The 27513-nt window shown below is 47.2% G+C and overlaps 2 pseudogenes across 2 annotated transcripts in view, besides 1 other annotated feature; both read right to left on the bottom strand.

The window, feature by feature from the left end:
- Nucleotides 3327-3406: a silencer, noted in NCBI's record as "silent region_16707". NCBI's record gives its function as "represses an Ori minimal core promoter by ATAC-STARR-seq in GM12878 lymphoblastoid cells {active_cell/tissue: GM12878}" and the evidence as "EXISTENCE:reporter gene assay evidence [ECO:0000049][PMID:35858748]".
- The window catches only part of FAM153CP (family with sequence similarity 153 member C, pseudogene), a 55897-nt pseudogene continuing 36741 nt past the window's right edge, over nt 8358-27513 (bottom strand). The window contains exons 9-16 of one of the 2 annotated variants that reach the window (NR_149722.1): nt 25495-25532; nt 25007-25074; nt 24813-24918; nt 22625-23281; nt 19259-19413; nt 18957-19143; nt 17973-18106; nt 8358-8774 (exon numbers count right to left, since the gene is read on the bottom strand). The product of NR_149722.1 is annotated as a family with sequence similarity 153 member C, pseudogene, transcript variant 2 (transcript). Of the gene's footprint in view, nt 8775-17972; nt 18107-18956; nt 19144-19258; nt 19414-22624; nt 23282-24290; nt 24919-25006; nt 25075-25494; nt 25533-27513 lie in introns of those variants that run through there. The other variant, NR_159407.1, reaches the window with a different exon arrangement.
- Nucleotides 15678-16374, bottom strand: RPL19P9 (ribosomal protein L19 pseudogene 9; annotated as a pseudogene).

Below are 27513 nucleotides of genomic sequence, written 5' to 3'. Positions count from 1 at the left end.
TATTTTAAATGTCAATCATTACAATAGTTGGGAAATTACATCTCTTGCAACAATTTAAATGTATAGTGAAAATTTCATATATCATCTTAAAAATATGCAAGAGAATACACATAGTTTTAAAAAGTTTTTAAATTCATTTTTTTTAAGATGGAGTCTCACTCTGTTGCCCAGGCTGGAGTGCAGTGGTGTGATCTAGGCTCACTGCAACCTCTGCCTCCCGGGTTCATGCAATTTTTGTGCCTCAGCCTACCAAGTAGCTGAGATTACAGGCACCAGCTAATTTTTGTATTTTTAGTAGAGATGGGGTTTCACCATGTTGGCCAGGCTGATCTTGAACTCCTGACCTCAAGTGATCCAACCAGCTTAGCCTCCCGAAATGCTGGGATTACAGGTGTGAGCCACCGGGCCCAGCCAGAGAATACACATAGTTTTTTAACAACTTCTTTCAGGAGCTACATCAGTCAGGATCATCCAGGATATGCTGCAATTACAAACAATCTCGAAGTCTTAGTGGGTGTAGAAACAGAGATCTATTTCTTGGTCACACTTCCCTTCTATAGCAGGTTGGTGGTGGCTCTGAGTTGTGAGGCAGGTTTTGCTCTTGCTCCTGCTACGTGGCCCACCCAAGCACAAGAGGGCAGGGAGTAATCCTCTCCCATGGCACTGCAAGGTGAGGGGGAATTGGTGATGAGCAGCCTCCGTGAGCTACCAGTGAGCACAACGTTTAAAGACCACTGGACCAAATCATAAAGCTTTTTTCCATGGTGTAGAGAAATCCCACCAAGTCTCCTGGGAAGAGGGGGATGTGGTCCAGGAGGCCCCTTTCTCCTGCCCACAAAATGAGGGAAGAAGAAGAGGGGCAAAGAGAGCAGCGAGGGCCAGGGTGCATGTACTGTTGGCTTCATTTGCAAGTTGAAACTACAATGGGGGAATGCCTGATAGATCCAGATGGATTCAGGGAACCCCAGGGCCCCCAGGGTCTGCAGGTGCATGTGGAGAAGCCTTTCACAGCAGGGTGCAGGAATGACAGTAGGTAGGGCAGAAGGAAGCAGCAGAGAGATGAGCCCGAGGCAGGGCTCCCAGCAGCCCATGGCCTGGCTGAGGCCTGCAGAAGTTCCTACAGGCCCCATGGGAAGACATGGAGTGCTGAGGGGCCAGTGGAGGCCTGGGGTGAGGACACATGGGCTCCAAGATGTGTGGCCTCCATGATCACAGGCAAATGGCTGGAACCAGAGACTGCAGCAGTGGCCCACAGACCAAATGGGACCGGTCACCCCATGGCAGTCACTTGTCCAAGGCCAGACCAAACCAGACCCTCCACTGTGGAGGATGGCATGAACCTCAGGGCATCCCTGGGCCTTCTGTCCTTGCACATGTCACCTAAGTACCCCCCACCCCCACACGCATACATACATACACATACACATACACATACACATACACATACACATACATACACATACACATACACATACACATACATACACAGGGCTCATTTGCACAAGGAGGGGGATTCAATATCATTTCCATCCAAATGATAGAACATTCATCTGAAAGACATCGTCTTTCACAAGATTCTGTTTACACATCTCTAGGTTCAAAGTTGGACTTTAAAAGAAACTCAGAAGAGACTGAGATGCTAAGTTGAAGTCTTGGCACCCCCCACCCCCACAAGCACCCATGCCTTGGGAAGAAGATTCACTTGGACACATCTTTTCTGCTCATCTAAGCAGTGGTGTGAGCAAATCCCAGCCATCCTCCACGATGTGTCCCCTACTGAAACCTTCACACTGCCAGAGGGGGGTGCTGGTGTTCCGCCTCTTTCACAGATGAGGAAGAGAGGATTGGTGGGGTGAGTCGGTCTCACAAGCACATGCAGTTATTTGCAGAACTGGGGCTGTCCAGTTCCCAACCAGAGTGTCCCTCCACCAGGCTCACTGTCTCCCCAAGGCGCCAGTGTTTCTGGGTTGGTCTCACATAGATGGCTGTGGCCGAGCCTAAGCCAGAAAGGCAGGGTTTCCTCCAAGTCATGCTGGGAAAACACTACTTACAGACACGTATGCACTTCTGGGGCCCCCACGATGTGTATGTTGGTCTGCTTGATGGTGTCTCGCAGATCCTATAGACTCTGTTCAGTTTTCTTCAATTTTTTTTTTTTTTGAGAGGGAGTCTGCCTCTGTCACACAGGCTGGAGTGTAGTGGCACGATCTCAGCTCACTGCAACCTCCATCTCCTGCCTCAGCCTCCCGAGTAACTGGGACTACAGGCACACACCACCACACCTGGATAATTGTGTGTTTTTAGTAGAGACTGGGTTCCACCATGTTGGCCAGGCTGGTCTTGAACTCCTGACCTCAAGTGATCCACCCGCCTCAGCCTCCCAAAGTGTTGGGATTACAGGCATGAGCCACTGTGCCTGGCCTCTTCAATCTGTTTTCTTTCTTTGTTTTTTTGGAGACAGAGTCTCACTCTGTTACCCAGGCTGGAGTTCAGTGGCTGGATCTTGGCTCACTGTAACCTCCACCTCCCAGGTTCAAGCAATTCTTGTGCCTCATCTCTCAGAGTAGCTGGGACTATAGGTGTTCACCACCATGCCTGGATAATTTTTTTTTTTTTTTTGGAGATGGAGTCTTCCTCTGTCGCTCAGGCTAGAGTGCAGTGGCATGATCTCAGCTCACTGCAACCTCTGCCTCCTGGGTTCAAGCAATTTTCCTGTCTCAGCTTCCCAAGTAGCTGGGATTACAGGCACGTGCTACCATGCCCAGCTAATTTTTTAAATTTTAGTAGAGATGGGGTTTCGCCACATTAGCCAGGCTGGTCTTGAACTCCTGGCCTCAGGCGATCCACCAGCCTCAGCCTCCCAAAGTGCTGGGATTACAGGCGTGAACCACCATGCACAGCCAAGTTTTGTACTTTTAGTAGAAGACAGGGTTTCACCATATTGGCTAGGCTGGTCTCAAACTCCTGATCTCAGGTGATCGACCCATCTTGGCCTCCTAAAGTGCTGGGATTATGGGTGTGAGCCACCACACCCGGCCAGACTTTTTTTTTTTTTAAATTAATCTTTGTAGTCTGTCTCTGTGCCAATGATCAGCCAGAGCTATAAACTTAAGGTTTTCTCAAGTCTTCTCTGAACGTGCGTCTTCCCTGGGGCACACATGGTGACTCTCTAATTTCCCCAATATATGCAGTTGCTTTAGAATGTTCTGGTCTTCAATGTCTGCCTCCCAAGAGGGGAGAAAGAGAAATGTGAACCAGGTGGGGGCAGGCCCACAGTCCTTAAATCCTCTGGAAGTCACTTCAGTCAGAGGGGGAAGGGCTTGTAACATTGGGGGCAGGTGCAACCACAATAACCACCACCTCTTTGCACCTCAGTGATCAGAAGCAGCAATCAGTGAGCAGAGCACAGACCTCCCGTATTTGGAGGACAGGGTCCTTTTTGTTCACCCGGCTCCCACCCACCAGCTGTCTGCAAGCTGCTCCAGGAACATGTGCACAGCTGCCTGCCAGGGGCATGGGATGGGAGATGGGTGGCTGCTGCCTGCTGAGAGCTGAAATTGACCCAAATTAGCCACAGTTGGAAGCCGTCAATAGACTCCAGAGTGCCAAAATAGTCACATCAGACAGATTCTGCCGGCGCAATTGTTGTCTAGGTGAAGAGACAGATTTCTGGAACTTGCTACTCCACTGTCTTAGAATCTTCCTCTCCCCAATTTTTTTATTTTGAAAAATTTTGGCCAGTAAGGTTTTTTCAAAGGAAAGAAATTGGCTGGAAGATACTTATATACTAACATGTTTTGGGAGGAAGTTTTCTCCCTTCTGAGGCACATGCCTGTCTCTCAGTAAACACTGGCCTAAAGCAAGGTTGGGAAGTGACTTTCTCCCCGACAATATGTCAGGCTGGTGGGAAGTCTCCTCTCAGGAACGTCTGTGAGAAGAAGCAAGTGATTACAAGCTGGTGGATGCATAAGGAGCTCTTGATCTTGGGAGTGGGAAGGGGCCACTCCCATCTGCACATGGCCTCTTGCTGTTTCCCTGGCTTGTAGCATGGAGATTTATGGGCATGTAACTTTTACAGTCACTTTTTTTTTTTTTTGAAACAGAGTCTCGCTCTGTCAGCCAAGCTGGAGTGCAGTGGCACAATCTCAGCTCACTGCAACCTCCGCCTCCCGGGTTCAAGCGATTCTTGTGCCTCAGCCTCCTGACTAGCTGGGATTACAGGTGCACGCCACCACGCCAGTCTAATTTTTGTATTTTTAGTGGAGATGGGGTTTCGCCATGTTGGCTAGGCTGGTCTTGAACTCCTGACCTCAAGTGATCTGCCCGCCTTGGCCTCCCAAAGTGCTGGGATTACAGGTGTGACCCACCATGCCCTGCCATGATGTCACTTTTCTAGCAAGAGGTCTCCTTGTCTGTATTCAAGTGGGGGGAGGTAGAATGGGGAGCAACAGGTGTGACCAGAAAACAGTCTCCCCACCCAGCCCACCCATCTCTTTCCCCATCCCAGGAGGGTCCTCTGTGGCCTGTGGAGGGTGACAGTGCCCCACACTGGGAGCCCTTTTCCTCCCAGATCTGAGCCCCTTCTGAAGGGGTGGGATGATTTGAAGGGGAGCTGCTCTGGTATTTCAGGAGGTTGAAAAAGGAAGGTGGCTGTACGTCTTGTGCTGGATTTCCTGGGCCTGGAGAGGACAAGGGCCATGGAATCTACAGGGAGAGATGCTGGAGCCCACTCAGACCCTGCATTCTCGAAGCAGGAATCCCTTGGGTGTGTTTGTGCCCAGAAGGACTGGTGAAGCTGGCACTGTGTGTGGAACCATCCTCTTCTGGAAGCTTACGCTGCTAGTGGTGTCACTGCAAGCAGGAGGGCAGCCCTTAGTAGCAGAGCTTGGTGGCCCGAGCTCTGGTGGTCTGAGATGCGCTGGAGTTCTTACCTACACAACAGGAAATGTTCAGAGTGCTTTCCTTCCTCCCTGCTTCTCTCCCATCCTCCTTCCCTCCTTCCACAAAGCATTTCACACATACATCAAAGAAGAACGAAGAGAGCAATAAACTCTCTTGTACCTATCAGGCAGCTATCAGTTACCTACAGTGAGCATCTCAGGACCACTTGTTTCACCTTTTTTTTTTTTTTTTTTTGAGATGGAGTCTCACTCTGTCACCCAGGCTGGAGTGCAGTGGCATGATCTCAGTTCACTGCAACCTCCGCCTACCTGGTTCAAGCGATTCTCGTGCCTCAGCCTCTGGAGTAGCGGGGATTACAGGCACCCGCCACCACGCCTGGCTAATTTTTGCATTTTTAGTAGAGATGGGGTTTCACCATGTTGACCAGGCTGGTCTCGAACTCCTGACCTCAAGCGATACACCCACCTTGGCCTCCCAAAGTGCTGGGATTACAGGCATGAGCCACCGCACCCGGCCTGTTTCACCTTTTTTCTTTTTTTTAAGTTCTTTTTTTAGTTGTAGAGACGAGGTCTCACTATGTTGCTCAGGCTGGTCTCGAACTTCTGGGTTCAAGCAATCTGCCCGCTTTAGCCTCCCAAAGTGCTGGCATTACAGATATGAGTCACTGCGCCTGGCCTCTTTTTTCATCTTTATGCACTCACATCCACTCACACGATCAGATTATTTAAAAGCAAACCTCAGACATTATAGTATTTTACCCATAAATACTTTAGGCTGTATCTCTAAAGGCTAAAATTTTCTTCTTAAGAGATGAGGTCTCACTCTGTTGCCCAGGCTGGAGTGCGGTAGTGTGAGCTTGGCTCACTGCAGCCTCAAACTCCTGGGCTCAAGTGATCTCCCTGATTCAGCCTCCCAAGTAGCTAAGACTACAGGCACACACCAGCATGCCTGGCTAATTTTTTGTGTGTATATATGGTCTTGCTATGTTGCCCAGGCTGGTCTTGAACTCCTGGCCTCAAGCAGTCTTTCCACCTCAGCTGGGACTACAGGCGCATGTCACCAGGAGGATAAGAATTTTTTAAAAACCCAATTGCACTATCACACTTTGGCATCTTTGGCATCTTTTTTTTTTGAGACAGAGTCTCGCTCTGTTGGCCAAGCTGGAGTGCAGTGGCATGATCTCGGCTCACTGCAACCTCCGTCTCCTGGGCTCAAGTGATTCTCCTGCCTCAGCCTCCCTAGTAACTAGGATTACAGGCACTCGCAACCATGCCCGGCTAATTTTTGCATTTTTAGTAGAGATGGGATTTCACCATGTTGGCCTGGCTGGTTTCAAACTCCTGACCTCAGGTGATCCACCTGCCTAGGCCTCCCAAAGTGCTGGGATTACAGGCTTGAGCCAGTGCGCCCAGCCACTTTGGCATCTTTTAATGCCCAATCCTTATTTGCCTTTTCCTGATTTTCTCAAGAATACATTTTTATATAGCTGTACCCCCTTATCTGCGGGGTGTATGTTCCGAGATCCTGTGGATGCCGTGAAACCACAGATAATGCCGAGCCCTTGTATACTATATTTTTTCCTATACATACACACCTATAATAAAGTGTAATTATAAATGAGGCACAGTAAGAGTTTAACAACAATAATTGATAATGCACTGTAATAAAAGTTATGTGAATGTGGTCTATCTCCCTAAGACTATCTTATTGAATTGTACCACAGACAACTGCAATGGTGGAAAGTGGAACCACGGATCAAGCGGGATTGGTGGGTTTCAGTCAGAATCCACCTAAAGTCCACACGCTGCATTTGGTAGATGTGTCTTTTAGGTCTATTTTAATCTGCAGTGACCTTCTCTGGACTGTGCAAGGCTGGGAGAGTCTCGGGATGAAGGAGTGGTGCTGGAGATCTTCTCACATAATTTCAGAAGGCAAGAGGAGTTCCATGCTTTGCACCCTGAGCATAGATTGGCTCATGTGATTCTCACAATAACCCCATCAGGTAGTAATTACGCCCATTTTTCAGACGAAGAAACTAAGTCTGAGGGAGGCTTTCCAAATAAGCAGAAGTGAAGGTTTCACTTATTTCATCTCACGGACCACATCTATTTCTCTCCAGAATTTCTGGTGACCCTGGGACAAGCCACAGAGGTAGCTGCCACCTCCAACAACACAGGGCCCTCTTGCTGGTGGGTCCCATCTGGGGAACTTCTGAGATCCAAAGGGGGCTACGTATGATGATGTGCAGACGACAGGCACTGACAACTCGTGTGCTCCCCAGCTCTCCTGGAGCATCAACGAGAAAGCATTTTTATTTTTCATAACTGCTGCAGATACACACAGTCCTCTTTTGGTTTAGATTAGATTTTTTTCTCATGAGATTTTATTTTCCATATGTAAGAAGCATATATATTTATACGTGCATATATAAGGTGTGCAAAATAATGAAATGAGCCCTTATGCACCCAATAGGCTGCTTAAGAAATAGAATGCTGGCCGGGCACAGTGGCTCACTCCTGGAATCCCAGCACTTTGGGAGGCCAGGCAGGAGAATCGCTCGAGCCCACAGATATGAGACCAGCCTGGGCAACATAGTGAGATCCTGTCTCTACAAAAAATTTAAAAATTAAGCCGGGCGTGGTGGCTCACGCCTGTAATCCCAGCACTTTGGGAGGCTGAGGTGGGCGGATCACGAGGTTAGGAGATTGAGACCACCCTGGCTAACATGGTGAAACCCCGTCTCTACTAAAAATACAAAAAAAAAAAATTAGCCGGGTGTGGTGGCGGGCGTCTGTAGTCCTAGCTACTCGGGAGGCTGAGGCAGGAGAACGGCGTGAACCCGGGAGGCGGAGGTTGCAGTGAGCTGAGATCATGCCACTGCATTCCAGCCTGGGCGACTGAGCAAGACCCCGTCTCAAAAAAAAAAAAAAAATTAGCTGGGTATGTTGGTGCATGCCTGTGGTCCCAGCTACTCAGGAGGCTGAGGTGGGAGGATTGCTTGAGCCCAGGAGGTCAAGGCTGCAATGAGCTATGATCGCAACCTGGGCAATGGAGCAACACCTTCTCTGGTAAAAAAAAAAAAAAAAAAAAAAAAAAAAGAAGAAGAAGAAATAGAATGCTAAGTATATCTTTGAAGCCACTGTGAGCCCCTCCCAAATGCATCCTCTCCCTCCTTATCCCCCTAGTAATCTGCTCTCAGCTTTTATCGCTTCCTTGCTTTTCTTCATGTTTACCACATTTACGTATGCATGCACATATTGTTGAAGAATATATTGGTTAGTTTTGCTTGTTTTTGAACTTTATACAAAGGTATTATATATTTTTTGTATTCTGTGATTTGCTTGTTTTTTCCTCAACATTATGTTTGGAGGGTTCGTTCATGTTGATGTGCGCACATATGCAGTTTCATTGTGTATCACAATTTACTAATCCATTATCCCATTGGACACTTGGCTTGTTTCCTGTTTTTATTTTTTCTTAATTACAAACAAGGTTACCTTGGGCCCTCCTACCTGTCTGTGGAGCACATGAGTAAGAGTTTCTCTAGCATATATCGTTAAGAGTGAAACTGCTGAGATGAAAGGTATAAACATGGCTAACATGCACAGGAGACTTCCAGTTGCTGTATGTCTTCACCAACACAGGATACTGTTGACTTTTAATTTGTGTCAATCTGCTGGGGATACACTGGTATCTAATTATGTTTTTGAAATTTAATTTTATTTTTTTTTGTAAGGTCTCATTATGTTACCCAGGTTGGTCTCAAACTCCTGGGCTCAAGTGATCCTCCCAGCTCGGCCTCCCAAAGTGCTGGAATTACAGGCATGAGCCACCGCACCCGGCTTGCTTCTTATTCTTGTTATGATTGTTTCCTATAAAGAAAAGAGGGAAATCCTGTCTTTAATTCGCCATGTTCAAATCAGAAATGTACTCCCTTTTCATCTTAGCTTTACATTGCGTTCTCTTTCTTCCTCCTTTGATTAGTGTTGCTAACAAATGTGTCGATTTTATTAGTCTTTTCAAAGAAACCATTTTTGGCTCTTTTGATTCTCTACTGCTTCTTTTTCTTCTCTTATTTTGCTGCTCTTATCTGTGTCTTCCTTCCTTCGACTTCTGTTCCTTCTTTTCTTTATCTCTCTCCTTCTCTTTCCTTCCTTTCTCTCTCTCTCTCTCTCTCTCTTTCTTGTTTCTTCTTTCTTAACAGGGCCTCTGTCACCCAGGTTGGAGTGCAGTGGCATAACCATGGCTCACTGCAACCTCCACCTCCCAGGTTCAAGTGATTCTCATGCCTCGGCCTCCCGAGTAGCTGGAATTACAGGCGTGCACCACCATGCCCAGCTAATTTTTGTATTTTTAGTAGAGACAGGGTTTCTCCATGTAGGCCAGGCTGAACTTGAATTCTTGACTTCAAGTGATCCACCTGCCTTGACCTCCTAATTTTTATATTTTTTGTAGAGACGGGGTCTCACTTTTGTTGCCCAGGCTGGTCTTGAACTCTGGGTCTCCAGCAATCCTCCCTCTACGGCCTCCCAAAGAGATGGCATTACAGGCATGAGCCACCGTGCCCCAGCCAGCTCTCAGATATTTTGTCGAAATGAGATAATGCATCATTGAAAAGCCGTGATCGGTTCATGACAAAGAAACAGGAATACAGCAGGATCCTTTTGGACAGGAGGAAATGCTGAAGGATCTGATTAGTATTTCACCTGGGGACCTCCAAGAAAGGATCTTAAGGCATATACTTGGTTATTCTTTCCGCCTTGGACTTGTTCACCGTCGTTTAACCACACAGGGGAAGTGCAGTAGGCTTTTCTGCCAGTTCTGCATCCGCAGCGAGACTGTGGGCCCAGGTTCTCAGACACAAATCCTAACGGCAGATGGCAGTGTTGCACACAATGGAGCCAGCGTTAAGTACAAAAAGAATTCAAACAAGTGTTATAAATAAATATTTAGGCCAGGCGCGGTGGCTCACACCTGTAATCCCAGCACTTTGGGAGGCCAAGGTGGGTAAATCACCTGAGGTCAGGAGTTTGAGACCAGCCTGGCCAACATGGCAAAACTCCATCTCTACCAAAAATGCAAAAATTAGCCGGGTGTGGTGGTGGCAGACACCTGTAATCCCAGCTACTTGGGAGGCTGAAGTGGGAGAATCGCTTGAACCTAGGAGGCAGAGGTTGCAGTGAGCTGCGATTGTGCCACTGCACTCCAGCCTGGCCGACAGAACAAGACCCTGTCTCAAATGATAATAATAATAAATAAATAAATATTAAAAGTTTAGGCTGTCCTGATCACCACTTGAGGCAGCTGGGACATTAGCTGAGGAGCTTCAGACTGAACCACACATTATCCACATGCCAACTCTTCCCCAGGCCACCACCAGTCTCACTGTCAAGGCCGGTACACGGCTTCTCAACATGGAGAAGAAAAGCCACAAGGTGGCCGGGCACGGTGGCTCATGTCTGTAATCCCAGCACTTTGGGAGGCCGAGGCGGGCGGATTACCTGAGGTCAGGAGTTCGAGACCAGCCTGGCCAACATGGTGAGTCCCTGTCTCTACTAAAAATACAAAAATTAGCCGGGTGTGGTGGCACACGCCTGTAATCCCAGCTACTTGGGAGGCTGAGGCAGGAGAATCACTTGAGCCCAGGAGATGGAGGTTGCAGTGAGCCGAGATTGCGCCACTGCACTCCAGCTTGGCTGACAGAGCGAGACTCTGTCTCAAAAAAAAAAAGAGAAAAGCCACAAGGCTCTGAGTGAGTCCTAATGCTTGCCACTGCAATCAGACATGCTCTGTAATCACGCTAAAGACGGATGGCAATCTAGACAGTAAGAAGGAGCTGAAGGAGCTGGCTTGTGTATGACATCAGGCATTGCCCTGAAAGATAAGGAAGATAGTCTGGGTGCAGTGGTTCATTCCTATAATCCCAGCACTTTGGGAGGCCAAGGCAGGCAGATCATCTGAGGTCGGGAGTTTGAGACCAGCCTGACCAATATGGAGAAACCCTGTCTCTACTAAAAATACAAAATTAGCTGGGCATGGTGGCACATGCCTGTAATCCCAGCTACTCGGGAGTCTGAGGCAGCAGAATCACTTGAACCAGGGAGGCGGATGTTGCTGTGAACTGAGATCACGCCATTGCACTCCAGCCTGGGCAACAATAGTGAAAACTCTGTCAAAAAAAAAAAAAAAAAAAGAAAGAGAGAAAGATGCCAAATATCAAAATGTTATAAACTCTGTGTGATTCCATTTATATGACATTCTTGAAAAGACAAAACTGTAGTGATGGAGAACAGATCAGTGGTTGCTAGGAGGTGGGGGTGGGTGGGGGGTGACTGTGGAGGGCAGCATGAGGGAGATTTTGGGGTGATGGAACTGTGCTGTGTCCTGTTTGTGGTGGTGGTTGCATGAATCTATACACTTGTTAAGATGCATTGAACTGTAAACATCCCCTAAAAATTCATTTTACGCTATGATAATGTAGAAAATAGAGCAGAGAGACAGCAATAACCATTTTCCCAGAAATGGGATAATCTTTAAGCGAGAGCATTTTTTTATAACTATGAATCTGATCAATGAATTGTGTGTCCCTTTCTTTTTCCTGTTACTGGCCTTTATTTATCTTTAATATTCACAGCAATTCTTGGCCCGTTTCACTCCATGTGTTTATCAGCTCCTCTATTCACAGTGTTCCCAAAATGTGCTAGAATTTACCTCCTATATCTAAATGTCCTAGACACAGCATATAAGGACAGAAATTAAGTCAATGAGTGGACAGGAAAGAAGATTTAGTAAATGCAATATTTTGAGAAGTCATTTTAGAAACCCAAGCTGCTAAGCCAAATATTTTAATTCTCTAAACAACACGAGCATTTAGAGGACAGTATTTCTAAGTTTACTTCTACCAGGTAGCATGTCCTTTATCCTTTTAAGAGACCTTCTTTTTTTTTTTTGAGATGGAGTTTTACTCTGTCATCCAGGCTGTAGTGGCATGATCTTGGCTCACTGCAACCTCCGTGTCCCGGGTTCAAGCAATAAGAGACTTAAAATTATGTTGGGACATCACCATAAAGCACCTACCCAATTTTAGCAAATGGTAAGGGAGTTAAGGAAGCGTTCAAAAGGAAATCCAAATAGAATGATAAAAATAAAGCAGGTTCTAAGGTCAGGAGTTCAAGACCAGGCTGGCCAACATGGTGAAACCCTGTCTCTACTGAAAATACAAAAATTAGCCGGGCCTGGTGGCGGGCGCCTGTAATCCCAGCTACTTGGGAGCCTTAGGCAGGAGAATCGCTTGAACCTGGGAGGCGGAGGTTGCAGTGAGCCAAGGTCACACCATTGCACTCCAGCCTGGGCAACAGAGCAAGACTCCGTCCCAAAGAAAAAAAAAAAAAGCAGGTTCAACAGGTCCATGCATATTTTGGTTAACATTCTAAAGTGGAAGCCCCAGCTGGCAGTCCAATAGGAGGATGAAGGAAATCTACCTGGTTGCTTCTCATATTTGATAGTCTCTTCTTATTCCTACTTTTGATTGCTTCTTTGATATGTTTATTTATTTAGTTATTTAGAGACAGAGTCTTGCTCTGCTGCCCAGGCTGGAGTGTAGTGGCGCGATCTTGGCTCGCTGCAACCTCTGCCTCTCAGGTTCAAGATGTTCTCCTGGCCAGGCGTGGTGGTTCACACCTTTAATCCCAACACTTTGGGAGGCCAAGGCAGGCGGATCATGAGGTCAGGAGTTAAAGACCAGCCTGGCCAACATGATGAAACCCTGTCTCTACTAAAGATACAAAGTTAGCTGGGAGTGGTGGCATGCACCCATAATCCCAGCTACTCGGGAGGCTGAGGCAGGAGAATTGCTTGAACCCGGGTGGTGGAGGTTGCAGTGAGCCAAGATCACGCCACTGCACTCCAGTCTGGGCGACAGGGCAAGATTCCATCTCAAAAAAAAAAAAAAAAAGGAAGACCAGGTCTTGGAGGGCTGCATTCCAAGCAAGGGTGATGGTGGACGCCTCCCTTCTGTAATTCTCAGTTCCTGCCTGGCCGACTTCATTCATTAGGGCACTTACTTGGCTCTTGTAGACAGTTGAGTTTGAGACATTTGGTGTAGAGAACGTTACCCCACAGTTGCCAGGAAGCAAATGCCAAGAGATCTCCAAAATATTTAATCACACCAATGGATTGTCTACAGTATCTTGTGGTCTTTCTGTTGCCTTTGAGAGAAGGTTATGGAATACCAGGTGGCAGGGCCGGGTGAGCTCAAAAGGTAAGGGGGGTTCTGACATAGTAAAGGGAACTGCTTTGTGGCACAGAATCAAAGATCCCAGATGCCTCCCCGCTAACTAACGTGGCAGTATTCCAAATACCCATTGACCAGAAGCATCTTATAGCAGGTGTAAGACCTGGGAGAATTCATTTTATTCCACCCCCAGGAAACAGATATGCCCTCTCTGGCAACATCACCAGGCCACACCTCTCATCCACAGAGCAGGTGCCTGTTTTCCCTGGGCCACTTGACATTGGAGATACAAAAGCCACAAGACAAAGCTCACGGCAGCGGGCTGAGAGCCCTGGAGGGCAAGTCAGCTGGCATCAGTTATGCAAGTTCTTTCTCTCTAGGCCTCAGAGTCCTTCCAGGTAATGTAGACTCTCTTGAGGCTTTTCCAGGTTTTCATCTTGTGATCTTTGGTCAGAAGGTGTCTTTCACCAGTTAACAGGTGAGTTAAGGTAGAATCCCCAGAACCCCTGGCTTCCCCCAGCCCCGCTTCATGGCCCCAAAAGAGACTCCAAAGGTACACTTTGAATCACCTGGACTAGGCGATTCTTACAGCTTCCCTTCCCAGTTGAACAATCCAGGGCCCCTTGAGAAACAGGAAAAGGTCTTGTCAAGCCAGAATCCCAACTAGATCTGAACTACCCAGGAAGTTGACATGGCCCTAATTCGACCCTCCAAGGGAGGGCAGCACAACAGTGTGGACCCAGCGGGGCGGTGGGCGTGAAGCTCTCCCCCGCTGCCTGCCCCTCACTGCAATTCCTCCTCGCTCACTCCCCATGCAGGCAGCTCCAGGACTTGGCTCATTGTCTGTCTCCCCCAAGGAGAACGCAGGCTCTTGAGGGAAGGGTGTTCTCTGTTACTGCAGGCTGTGTCCCCCACCACCTGTCCCGTGGCACCATCGGCATAGCTCACAGCAGGTGCTGAATAAACGCTCGCGAACTTTGGAAACTCCTTACCATGTGGGATGAGAAACAGTCATCCTATCCCAGAGACATGCATTTTCCTGTGTCACGGGACCATGCGGTGATACACAGAAGGCTGGCTTCTGCAGCAGCAGGGAATCAACCTAAATGCCCATAATAACTGACCGGATCAAGAAAACGTAGTTCATATGCTCCGTGGAATACTATGCGGCCATAAAAAAGAAGGAGATCACATCTTATTCAGAAACATGGACAGACCTGGAGACCACTATCCTAAGTGAACTAACTCAGGAACAGAAAAGCAAATACTGCACATTCTCACATATAAGTGGGAGCTAAATGACGAGAACACGTGGACACAAAGAAAGGAACAACAGACACTGGAGCCTACTTTAGGGTGGAGGGTGGGAGGAGGGAGAGGAGCAGAAGAAATAACTATTGGGGGCTGGGCTCAGTACCTGGGTGATGAAATAATCTGTATAATGAACCCCCATGACACAAGTTTACCTGTATGATAAACCTGTACACGCACCCCTGAACCTAAAATAAAAGTTAAAAAAAAAAGGTTTTCCAATGCTAAGGAAAAGCTTACTTTTTCATTTTCCTCCAGCTGTTAACTCATGGGGAGGCCCTCTTTCTCTTGGAGAGCACAGAGGAAAATTAAGGGCTTCCTAGCAACAAAGCAGTTTGTCAGAAAGTCATGAGTGAGCATGGCAGGGCTGTGTGGGAAGTGTGTGTTGGACAATACGACACACTGGCTTCTCACTGCTGCTGCCTCTGACCAATAATACATGTTTTCAGAAGGCCTTGTTTTCATGTACACAATGGACTATAATTGTAGGGAAAAGAAAGAGAGATCAGACTGTTACTGTGTCTATGTAGAAAGGGAAGACATAAGAAACTCCATGTTAACCCGTACCCTGAACAATTGCTTTGCCCTGTGATGCTGCTAATCTGTAACTTTGCCTCAACCTTGAGCTCACAGAAACATGTGTTGTATGGAATCAAGGTTAAAGGGATCTAGGGCTATGCAGGATGTGCCTTGTTAACAACATGTTTCCAAGCAGTATGCTTGGTAAGAGTTATCGCCATTCTCCAGTCTCAATAAACCAGGGGCACAATGCACTGCGGAAAGCCACAGGGAACTCTGCCCTGGGAAGCCGGGTATTGTCCAAGGTTTCTCCCTATGTGAAAATCTGAAATATGGCCTCATGGGATGGGAAAGACCTGACCGTCCCCCAGCCCGACATCTGTGGAGGGTCTGTGCTGAGGAGGATTAGTAAAAGAGGAAAGCCTCTTGCAGTTGAGATAGAGGAAGGCCACTGTCTCCTGCCTGCCCCTGGGAACTGAATGTCTCGGTATAAAACCTGATTGTACATTTGTTCAGTTTTGAGATAGGAGAAAAACCGCCCTGTGGCGGGAGGTGAGACATGTTGGCAGCAATGCTGCTTTATTATTCTTTACTCCACTGAGATGTTTGGGTGGAGAGGAACATAAATCTGGCCTACGTGCACATCCAGGCATAGTACCGTCCCTTGAACTTATTTGTGACACAGATTCCTTTGCTCACATGTTTTTTTTTTTTAAGGCTTGTTTTATTTTCATGGCTGATCTATGTAATCACAGAGGCCAGTATGTACAGACAAAGGGGGAGCTTTTATTTCTTGGTCTCTTCCTCCTTGGATAAAGTCTTGATGAACTCCTCCTTCTTGGCCTGGAGGCGCTCTTCAGGGCACTTGCCTGCTTCCTTGGTCTTAGACCTGCGGGCCTCAGCCTGGTCAGCCAGGAGCTTCTTGCGGGCCTTGTCTGCCTTCAGCTTGTGGATGTGTTCCATGAGAATCCGCTTGTCTTTGAACACATTCCCCTTCACCTTCAGGTACAGGCTGTGATACGTGTGGCGATCGATCTTCTTAGATTCACGGTATCTTCTGAGCAGCCGGCGCAAAATCGTCATTCTCCTCATCCATGTGACCTTCTCTGGCATTCGGGCATTGGCTGTACCCTTCTGCTCACCTATGGCCACGTGCCTGCCCTTCCGGCGGGCCAAGGTGTTTTTCCGGCATCGAGCCCGGGAATGGACCGTCACAGGCTTGCGGATGATCAGCCCGTCTTTGATGAGCTTCCGGATCTGCTGACGGGAGTTGGCATTGGCGATTTCATTGGTCTCACTGGGGTCTAACCAGACCTTCTTCTTGCCACAGCGGAGGACACTAGAGGCGAGCCTCTTCTGAGGCCCGAGCATGCTCATGGCTGCGGCCGCAGCAGCGAAAGGAAAGGCTCACAGGTTTTCTTGCTGACACCCTGCTCTCCTACCGCATTCCTCTTGCTGAGACACTGAAAATGGTAATCAATAAACTGAGGGAACTCAGAGGCCGGTGCCAGTGCTGGTCCTCCGTATGCTGAGTGCCGGTCTCCTGGGCCCGCTGTTCTTTCTCTGTACTTTGTCTCCGTGTCTTATTTCTTTTCTCAGTCTCTCATCCCACCTGACAAGATATACCCACAGGTATGGATGGGCAGGCTACCCCTTCATATAATTACTGCAAAGGTGCAGTGAGACCTATTTTTTTTTTTTTTTTTTTTGAGACAGAGTCTCACTCTGTCACCCAGGCTGGAGTGCAGTGGTGCGATCTCAGCTCACTGCAAGCTCCACCTCCCGGGTTCACGCCATTCTCCTGCCTCAGCCTCCCGAGTACCTGGGACTACAGGAGCCCACAACCATGCCTGGCTAATTTTTTGTATTTTTAGTAGAGACGGGGTTTCACCGTGGTCTCGATCTCCTGACCTCGTGATCTGCCCACCTCAGCCTCCCAAAGTGCTGGGATTACAGGTGTGAGCCACCACGCTCGGCCTTTTTTGTATTTTTAATAGAAACAGGGTTTCACCGTGTTAGCCAGGATGGTCTTGATCTCCTGACCTCGTGATCCACCTGCCTCGGCCTCCCAAAGTGCTGGGATGACAGGCGTGAGCCGCCATGCGTGGCCCAGATTAAATACTTCTTTAGAAGATGGACTAGAAATGGGTCATCAGAAATTGTTTTTACTTACATATGAAGAATTCTAATCTTCAAAAAATTTTAGAACTCAGTCAGAACTTGAGAACTTCTTTCAGTAGGTGCTGTGATTCAATAACCAGAATTCTGCTTTACTTTATAGTTACACAAGTATTTCTGTCATTTTCCTACTAAATTACATGAAGGGGGTTGTCTGCTTATGAGCTGCACCACCGAGCAGCATGCCTATCAGTGAGAAGGTGCCTGACAATTCTCAGTTGAAATGTCCTGACGAAGTTCCCCCAGAAATTTGTGAGTACTCAACTGTATTAAAACTAAATATACTGTTTTTCATGACAAATAGTCACTATTTAGTAAAATGATTACTGTGCTATAATAGAACAAGTCCTTAGCCCAAAATTAAATGGCCACAGATTGACATATGCCTAAAGCTTATCAACTATCACGTATCACATTTTAACAAAAATCAAGAACACTAATAGATGATCTCTTCTTCTTTTTCTTTTGTGAAACAGGGTCTTGCTCTGTCACCCAGGCTGGAGTGCAGTGGTGCAATCATGGTTCACTGCAGTCTTCACCTCCTGGGTCCAAATGATCCTCCAACCTCAGCCTCCCAGGTAGCTGGGGCCACAGTCGCATGCCACCATTCCCGGTTAGCGTGCGCGTGTGTGTGTGTGTGTGCGTGCGCAGAGTCTCCCTATGATGTCTAGGCTGGTCTCAAACTCCTGGGCTCAAGCAATTCTCCCTCTTTGGCCTCCCAAAATGCTAGGATTACAGGCATGAGCTAAATCGTACCAAAGAAATTATATTTTAAAAGTAAAGTCAAAGGTAGAATTTAAGAACAAAGGAATTCTATTTCTATACTTACTAGTCCCAGGTAGACAAACAACACGGCCTTCCTCAGCCTCTACCCGAGTCGTTTCAGAAGAGTGTGAGCCATGAGAAATCAGAGCTGTTATTTTCTGGTTGAAACTGACACTTTAGGCTACTGTTTTCATTTGCCTGTTGAAAGAATAACTTAGCTGTATTAATCATTTAAATTAAAATTAAACATTTTGAAGGGAAAACATGGGGAGTAGACAACATCTACCTTACTCAAGGAGGCAGGTAATCAATGTAAAAGGAATGAGAAAAATCACCATTGGAACCACGGGTGTAATCAATGTTTCCAAGAGGCTTCAGCAATGACGCTGAAACCAGCTCGTGAAGGTTGCCGGGGAATAAGATGTTCACAGTGCTTTGATGTCTCATCCCACAGATGACTAATAACAAAAGGGAAAAGCTACCCTCACAAGGAGATGTCCAGTTGACACTACCTCAACCAAAATTATTAAACATAGCATCAGCAATCGTGGGACAAACAGACGCAAACATCTCCTGGTGTGAGGCGGTAAGTACGCAACACTGCCTAATCTGAATTAGGCATTATTCCCTGTTTAATCTGGATCCACTCATGAGAACACTGTTTAATCTGTATTCTTGCCAAAATGCTCAATCTATTCTAGTCAGGAGAAGAAAAAAGCAACCAGATATATCTAGATTATGGGTCACTCTACAAAACAAAGAGCCTAGATTTTTCAAAATGTTTCATGTATTGAAAGAACTACTCCAAAGTAAAAGAATAGAGAGACGTGACAACCAAAGGCAAGGTTAATCTTTGATTAAACTGTGGATCTAAAACAAAAATAAAGAACATTTTGGAGACAATTAGGTAAATCTGAATATGGGCTGTACATCAAATTACTGTATTATAGTTAGATGGTAGAACTGTAATTACATAGAAATATGTCATTATTCACAAGAGATAAACGCTGAAGTGTTGGGGTAAAACATCATGCTCTTTTCAACTTACTTTCAAATGATTCAGAGAAGAAAGTACTTATGGAAAGAGAAAGAAACTGCAAAAGGTGGCAAATGCTAGCCACTGGTTGATCTGAATGAAGAATATGTAGATGTCCATTGTTTTGCCTTTTAATTTTCTGTAGGCAAGGGAAAGATAGGAAGGAGGGAAGGTGCAGGCATTTCTTATCAATTCATACCTGTAAAAAACAGAGTTAAAAGAAAACCAAAGGCTTAAAATTCATGTAAACATCCAGTGAGATCAACAGTGATTTTCTGTCAAATTTCTGAAAAGCCATTAAGACTGTAACATACCTGACTAGGATCACCTGTAGGTAACTTAAAGTACTTTTTCTGGAGGTTCCAGTCCTTCTACTTCATATGTTTTATTCCATCATTCGTGGAATTGCCAGTTGTTCAAAATAAACCTCTAAATGATCATCGTAAGACATTTCATCATCAATATCATCCTTTAATAAAATTAAGAAAAAATAAAACAGGCTCTAAGGTAGTGACTGAACAATAAATAATTTGTAATAAAAAAGACTAAGACATAAATGAGTCAATAAAATTAAGAAAAAAATAAAGCAGGCCTTAAAGTAGTGACTAAACAATTTGTAATCAAAAATACCCATCAGACATAAATGAGTCAATAAAGTATACAATTTTTTTTTTGAGATAGAGTCTTGTTCTATTATCCAGACTGAATGCAGTGGTGTGATCTCAGCTCACTGCAATCTTCACCTCCCAGATTCAAGCCATCCTCCCACCTCAGCCTCCCGAGTAACTGGGACTACACACGTGCACCACCTCGCCTGGATAATTTTTGTATTTTTTTTTGTAGAAATGGGGTTGTCCCATGTTGTCCAGGCTGGTCTTAAACTCCTGGACTCAAGCATTCCACCCACCTTGGCCTACCAAAGTGCTGGGATTACAGGTGTGAGCCACCTCGCCTGGCCTGTTTTTATACTTGACATGAGAAAACTGTTATAACTTCAGTCAATTATAAGTCATTATAAAAAAATATTTAACCTCTTTGAGAGGACAGGACAGAAAGATCCTGACACGTTATCAAAGCTTAGGGTAGGATAAATGTGCCATCACAAATGAATGGGGAAGAGAGCAGGCCCTTCAGAAAATGGTGTGGCAAATGGTTACCTCTATCAAAAAAGTACAGACGAGCCTATCATAAGAGAAGTAAAAGGAAGAAAGGGAGGAGAGAGAGAGAAAGAGAGAAAAAGGGAGGGAGGACACTGCAGAAGGCTTCAATGTTGTAACACCCAGCTCAGCAAGGATAAGATAAACCAAGAGCTCTCAGTCATGGTCTAAGCTGGCACTGGCTTTTATTTATTTATTTTTTTTTCGAGGTGGAGTCTCACTCTGTCACCTAGGCTGGAGTGCAGTGGCGTGATCTCGGCTCACTGCAAGCTCCACCTCCTGGGTTCACACCATTCTCCTGCCTCAGCCTCCTGAGTAGCTGGGACCACAGGCACCTGCCACCACATCGGGCTAACTTTTTGTATTTTTAGTAGAGACGGGGTTTCACCGTGTTAGCCAGGATGGTCTCAATCTCCTGACCTCGTGATCCGCCCGCCTCGGCCTCCCAAAGTGCTGGGATTACAGGCGTGAGCCAGTGCGCCCGGCCTACCTTTTTAGAGGTTAATTTTGCAATTAACATTAAGAGTCTCAAAAACACTCATCACCTTTGACTTAGCCATTTCACCTCCAATAATCTAGCATACTAAAACACTCTAAGATCAGATACATTTAGGTCAATAATTCTTTATCCACCAATTACACAATCCAAAAAAATTTTAAAAACTCTTTTGGCAGCACAAGCTGTCCTCAATAAATGTGATACTATTTGTAGTTTCTATTTATACCACTCAGCTGGCCTTCAAAGCCATGCATACTTTTAATGTAAGTAGCCCCAGCCTACTTCTCTGGGGTTATTTACCAACGCAGCCTCCCACAGATGCTGTAAACCTGACACAGAAAGCCCCTGGCCGTTCCCCAAACACTGCCCACATGCCTCCCAGCAGCGCCTTTGCTGATACTGTTTCTGCTTCCTGACACGCCCTCCTTCTCGCACGTCTAAGGCCTGGCACGGGCCCCATCTCTTTTCGTAAAGCTTCAGCCATACCTGCCTCAGAGGTAAATTTCTGACCCCCATGATTCCCAGGCACATTTTGGTGCTGCTGGTTGTACACAACACAATCTGAAATGTGGTTCTGCATCTCTTCTTTGCACCTGGCTGAGGTCTCAGAGAGCAGAGGCTAAATATTTCACGGCTCCCTCAATTTCTAAACACAGTGCTGTATATTGAGTGGCACCTCTAGGTGACTACTTTGTACCCTAAATGTTAAGCTGAGGGATGAGTGAAACAATATCAGGATTAATAAATAAATACATTCTTGAATTCCATCACTTAATAGAAGTGGCCATTTGAATGCTGGCAGGTAGGAAGAAAAGAGGAGGACAAAGAACCCCAAAAGTTGGCATCATAACTACTGCCACAAGAAAGGAGAATCAAGCAGATTGGTAAGGTAAAGACCAGGGAAACACAGGTCACTGCAGGACTGAAGAATCTTCCAAGCTTGTCAGTAATGTAAGTTTCTCATTTTCCAATAAACTAGTGTGGCATAGGTCACTGTTTAGAGTCTTGTCTTCAAAATGTTTTCCAGCATCAAGGAAAACAATCTACAAGAAACAAAATGGTGAGAAAAAGCAGCACACTCACGTCTCTGAAGAGCACAGCATAAGGCTACAAAAAGGACCAAGCACCTTCTCAACCTGCAATGTGCTCAGTGTCTGTAAATCACAAGTTAGGTGATGAAGGGCTGGTAGTTTCCCATGAATTAATAACTTTCCTTCTTGCCCCCGTGTTATCTCCCTCACCTGACCCCCGCCAATAAAACATCCTTAAAAGGCTCCTCTCAAATTCCTTGCAAATATTAGGCTCCTCTCAAATTGCTTGCACATGCTTGGAGAAGCTCACAGTGGTTAGTACACTCATACACAACTGAACTTGAGCGACACAAAGCTTACAAGACAGCAAAGACAACAGCAAAGCTGGGCCCAGCAGCCATCACCTAAAGAACTCTTCACTCGTTACATTGGAGCAGGTGATCTCTCTGGAACCAGGAACCACAGAACACTGAAGGACACGGAGCTGGTGGCTAAGGATTCAAGGCCTGCAGTGAAAATGTAACATTTCCCTCCAAGTGCTTATTTCTGCTATAATCTGGTTTAGTTTTGCAATGAACAACTAGATTTCTAACTGATATTCACGTTAATAAACTTTTCTTTTTTAAGACAGGGTCTTGCTCTGTCACCCAGGCTGGAGTGCAGTGGTGCAGTCATGGCTTACTGGAGGCTCAACCTCCTAGGCTCAACCAGTCCTCCTGCCTCAGCCTCCCAAGTAGCTGGGGCTACAGATGGATGCTACCATGCCCAGCTAATTAAAGGATTTTTTTTTTTTGTAGGGATGAGGTCTCACTATGTTGCCCAGGCTGGTCTTAAACTCCTGGGATCAAGCAATCGTCCTGCTTTGGTCTCCCAAACTGCTGAGATTACAGGTGGTAGCCACTGCACCAGGCCATTAACATTTATATATGTAAAATACATACAGAATGTAAATCACCACAAAACATAAAAATACTCCATATTGATGTAACTTACCATACTATGGATTTGTTTTAAAAATGAGGTAAAAGTCATTAAGAAAATGAAAGCACAAAAGTCTATCAAAATTACAAAAACTTAAAACTGAGTAAACAAAACTTCAGAAAGAATGAAAACAATTGGAAAATAACTTCAAGAAAAAAATGTAAAATGGAAACAATACAAGAACAATTTGTGCCCTCTGAAAAACAGAGGTTAAAGTCAGAATTTTTTTGTTCTTTTTTTTTTTTTGAGACAAAGTCTCACTCTGTAGCCAGGTGCTGGGGTGCAGTGGCATGATCTCGGCTCACCGCAACCTCCGCCTCCTGAGTTCAAGTGATTCTCCTGCCTCAGCCTCCCAAATAGCTGGGACTACAAGAGTGCGCCACCACGCCTAGCTAATTTTTGTATTTTTAGTAGAGACGGGGTTTCACCTTGTTGGCCAGGCTGGTCTTGAACTCCTGACCTCAGGTGATCCACCCGCCTCGGCCTCCCAAAGTGCTGGGATTACAGGCATAAGCCACCACGCCCAGCCAGGAAAGTATTTAAAAACAAATTAAGCAAAGATTATAAAAGTTTTTGGAGTAACACATTTCCCGAAATGATCACGATCCACATCAAGTCTGAGCCATGTTGACATCCCCACGTCGGGGCCCTTCCTGGTGGTCGAGGAATCTGCAACACAGACAGAGGTGCAAGGGTCACTAGAGAGGCACAGAGGTGGAGGGAGGAGGGGCTCCCTGGGATGGGTGTGCAGGTCTCAGAGACCTCCTTGGGCCCTGGAAGGTGACCTGGGGCCCCTGAGCTCCCCACAATCAGGTCTACTCAGATGTCAAGGCACTGAGCCCTGTGTGCTGCTCTCTGCTGAGGGGTTATCTGTCCACAGAGAGTGTGAGTGTCATGGAGGAAGAATGAACCTGGGCGCTCACACGGGCACCTTCAGGGGGCTGGTTCCCCGGAGGGTAAAACAGACACACACAAACGGAATTTCAAGCATACCAGGATCAACAGGCAGAGTCCCATGCCCCTGGGCCCTAAGAGGAGCAGGAGGTCTCATGACACAGGGTGGGGGTGGTGACCCTGCCTTGCCACCCAGATCCTCTGTGCCATCCAGACGGAAGAGCTGCACGTTGAATATGCATAGCTTCCTGGAGAAGAGCTGCACGTTGAACATGCATAGCTTCCTGGAGAAGAGCTGCACGTTGAACATGCATAGCTTCCTGGAGAAGAGCTGCACGTTGAACATGCATAGCTTCCTGGAGCACGTCATTGTTATTGCCTAATAAGACCTGGTCTTTCTAGCACCCCCACCGGACCTGTCTTTGCTTTGTAATTTTTAAAATTATGCTTTGGTAAGACACAAATTTCTCATGTTTGTATATTCTAGCATAAAAGGGTTACAGAAGACATACATTTGAAAGAGTGAAAAACAGTGTATATGTACACACACACACACACACATTCATATGTGTACCTTATTTCAAGATTGGAAAATATATTTAAAAAACAGAGGCTCGCTAAATCATGTCCTCAAACCCTCCCAAGTGAGCATGGCCCTGAAATGTCTTCAGGGGTTTGTTTTGTTGGCATTTGGCCCAAGCCAGTGCCCTCTACATACAGAAGCCTCCAACCTCATCTTGAAAAATGGGGCCATGAGGTCACCCCAGGCCCCCACAGAGGCTGAAGGACCCCTGGAACTGGAGGCCCCCAGACCCCCCAGAGGCTGAAGGACTCCTGGGACTGGACACATTTCAGTGCTTCTTGGATCCTGCCGTGTCCCCTGCTTGACACCAGGACCTACTGAGGGCCTGCTGGCCCGCAATACTGGGTCGGGTGGGCTGCTCGCTTGTGTGACAAGGAGCCTGGGGGTGCCTCCATCCCTCTCACACCTTTCCCAGGAGGCCTGAACCAGGGGGATTCATGTCAACCCTAGTGTCTCCTCAGGATGAACTAGTGATGCTCCCTGTTGTCCTCAAGGGGCTGGGAGGACAGAGCTAGGTCCCCCCAAATGAGATGTTGGTGAGCTGAAGAGTTACTGCAGACAACACAGTGCAAAGCCCTTGGAGTCCTGCACATGGGGGTGCGACCAGCACCTCAGTGTCTCCCTCACTAAGCAGCCTGTGGAGGGCTCAGCCCAGCAGGCTCGGGCTGCTATGGAGTGGGTGTCTGTTTCCTGGAGCATGTTCTCAGGGCATCCTTCACTTACCTTCAGAGGTCTCTAAAATATATTAAAAATGTCCCAACATTTCAGGACATTCCACCGGCTTTTCTTGCTGGGCTTCCTGGTTTTCTTCTTGGGCTTTCTGGTTTTCCTGATGGGACAACAAGAAAGTGAGCGTAGCCAAGAAGAACATGGGCACGTGCCTGCTTCCCTCATCATTCTGCGCACTGCACACTCACACTTCCTCTTCCACTTTGGTCTTTTCTGTTGCTTCTTCTGCAGGTGCAGAGGAAGGACTTGCTGACATCTGTGAGGAAGAGAACAATTGTGCATGTCCAGAGACGCCAGTGCAGGAAAAGACCTATCTGTGAAGGCGGTGCCCAGAGCAGACCCAGATGTCACTGGGGGTCCCTCCAGCAGGGTGGGGTCCAGCTCTTCTGACCCCAGCCCAGCCCCTTCCCCTGGACCCTGTAGGGTTGTTCAGCAAGATTCAAAGCTGCAACCTGGGGGCCAGTAAACAGGGCAATGCCAAGGCAGTGGGCAGGAGGGCTGGAGAGGGATTTTATCGACACTGAAGACCCGAGGACCTCAACTGTGGGATGAGACCAGGTCCTTCAGGAGAACAATCACAAGAGAGGGAAAGAGGAAAAGGACTAGAGCTAAAAAAGGAGCTCATGAGTCAGAAAGAGGATAAAAGACAGCCAGCATATAAGAGGAGATCAATTACCTGCTGGTGGCTGCCTGTAATGGTGGAGTCTTCCAATTCTGTGAAGCAAGCATCAGAGTGTCCGGAGGAGCAGCGGTGATGGGGTGGCCATAAGAAGGAAAGGGGAGAGTTAGAGTCGAGAGAACCACTCAGACCCTGCTGTCCTGGGGCTGTGGAGCCAACCCCAGAGCCTCTGATGTGCTCATTTCTGGAGCCTTCTCCACAGCCTGTATCATTTCCTCTGTGCTATGAGGGAGGGACCTCTGACTTCCCACGTACTTTCCCAGCCCTCACATTCCATAACTGAGCCAAGGGAGGGGAAGCCGTGTCATTCTGTTCCTCCAAGAGGCAGCGCCCTCTTCACAACGTTGTGCGTGACATGGAGTTCCCTCCCTTCTCCTCCTGTAGGGCCTGTTTCTGTTCCCGCATGAATCCCATTTCCTTTCACCCTGTGGACCTCCACCAGTCCTACTGTTCTCCAAAATAAGAACACTGGAAAGAAGGTCAAGGCTGCACTGCCAGGGCCTCCAATCAACCCACGGATCGCACCCTGGGTCAGCAGCACCTCCCACAGGCCTGGGGTTGTGTTGGGGCCTGCGGGAGGTGATGATGGCCGATGTCACTTATACAGTGACTGTTCTATGCCTGGAGTGACCTTAGAGACTTGGAAAATATTCAGCCCTCAAAAGAATCCCAGCAGCTTCTGAATATTTGGAAACAATGGAACAGAATTCAAGGTAAAGCCCCTTGTCCCAGTTGCCTTAATCTGCAGGTGAGGCCAGCAGTTGCCAGCACAGAAATGAGGGGACCCTCCCAGGGTTTGCCTGAGCTGTGGGAAGACTAGGAGGGAAGGTACCTGGAAGACCTGACACAGAGAACAATCTGGGCCTGACTGGAGTGTGGGGAGAAGGACAAGGCTGCTGAGCCAGAGAGGAGGGTGTGACAAGACAAGTGACCACTGTGCCAGCTGCCCAGAGGCTCTGCCCTGGGCCCAGTGGATTCCAGGGACCAGGCTACAGGGAGGGTGAGAGCCACTGCCTACAGCAACACAGCAGCCCCTCCACACATATCCCTTAGGATTCCTGCCAGCCACAGAGGGCCCTGAGCAACAGCTGGACTTGGGCCTCTCCAGTGAAAGCCAATTTAGGTTTCATTCAAAGCACAGGGATTTGGGATTGGATGGGATTGGGTGAAGAGTGGAGGCCAAAACTGTGCTCAATCATGTGTTCTGCCCTCAGGACTCCAGGATGCTGGGGCACACGTAGGAATCCCAGAGGAAGGATTCCCTGTGTCATCCGACCCAGGGAGCACCCTTAGAGCAGGAGCAGACAGTGAGGACAGGACAGGAAGGTGCTGTTGCAGGTCCCGAGAGTGTAGAGAAAGACAGTGGGCTCCTTTCACCTCCTGGCACACGTATGAAGGACTTTGTCTTCAGGATCACGTAGCGCCTGTGTGGGGCTGTGTCCCACCCCACACTCAACTTTACACCTGCATACTCATCTTGTGATCTCTATTCACAAAAAAATGCTACCTCATCAAAACCCAGGGCTCTGGTGCTTGCTGTGGCAAAGGCAGGAATGATCTGGTCTTCTGCAAAATGTAATCTTTAGACACCAGAGCAAGAAATGATGGTGACATACACAACTCGCACAAAGCCCATGAGAACAAAACTCTTAGGACTTTCTCATTAAGATACAAAAAATCCCAAGTCAGACTTCTACACCTGTTTCATATTTAGTCACTTCACTGATCCCATCCTAGGCTCCAAAACAAGTGTAACCCAATTCCCAAGAACCCTGTCTCACTGGTCAACCCTGGAGTGTTGGTCCCTACCTGACCAGTCTATTTCCTCCTGGATGGATCCAGAGGTGGTGCCCATGAGCCCATGTACAGAGACACAAACATTAGCACTACTGCTCTGTCCACTGTGATTCTCCCTGGGCTCTGTGAACTCAGGGGCCTTTATGAAGGCACTGCTCACAGTTGTGAGCCTTCAGGTAAGACAGAGGACCTGAAATAATCCCTTTCAACTGTTCACCG

This window comes from Homo sapiens, chromosome 5, assembly GCF_000001405.40.
Source record: "Homo sapiens chromosome 5, GRCh38.p14 Primary Assembly".
In the NCBI taxonomy this organism is placed as follows: domain Eukaryota; kingdom Metazoa; phylum Chordata; class Mammalia; order Primates; family Hominidae; genus Homo; species Homo sapiens.
The sequence above is the reverse complement of the archived record's forward strand: the minus strand, read 5'-3'. Positions and strand labels throughout refer to the sequence as shown.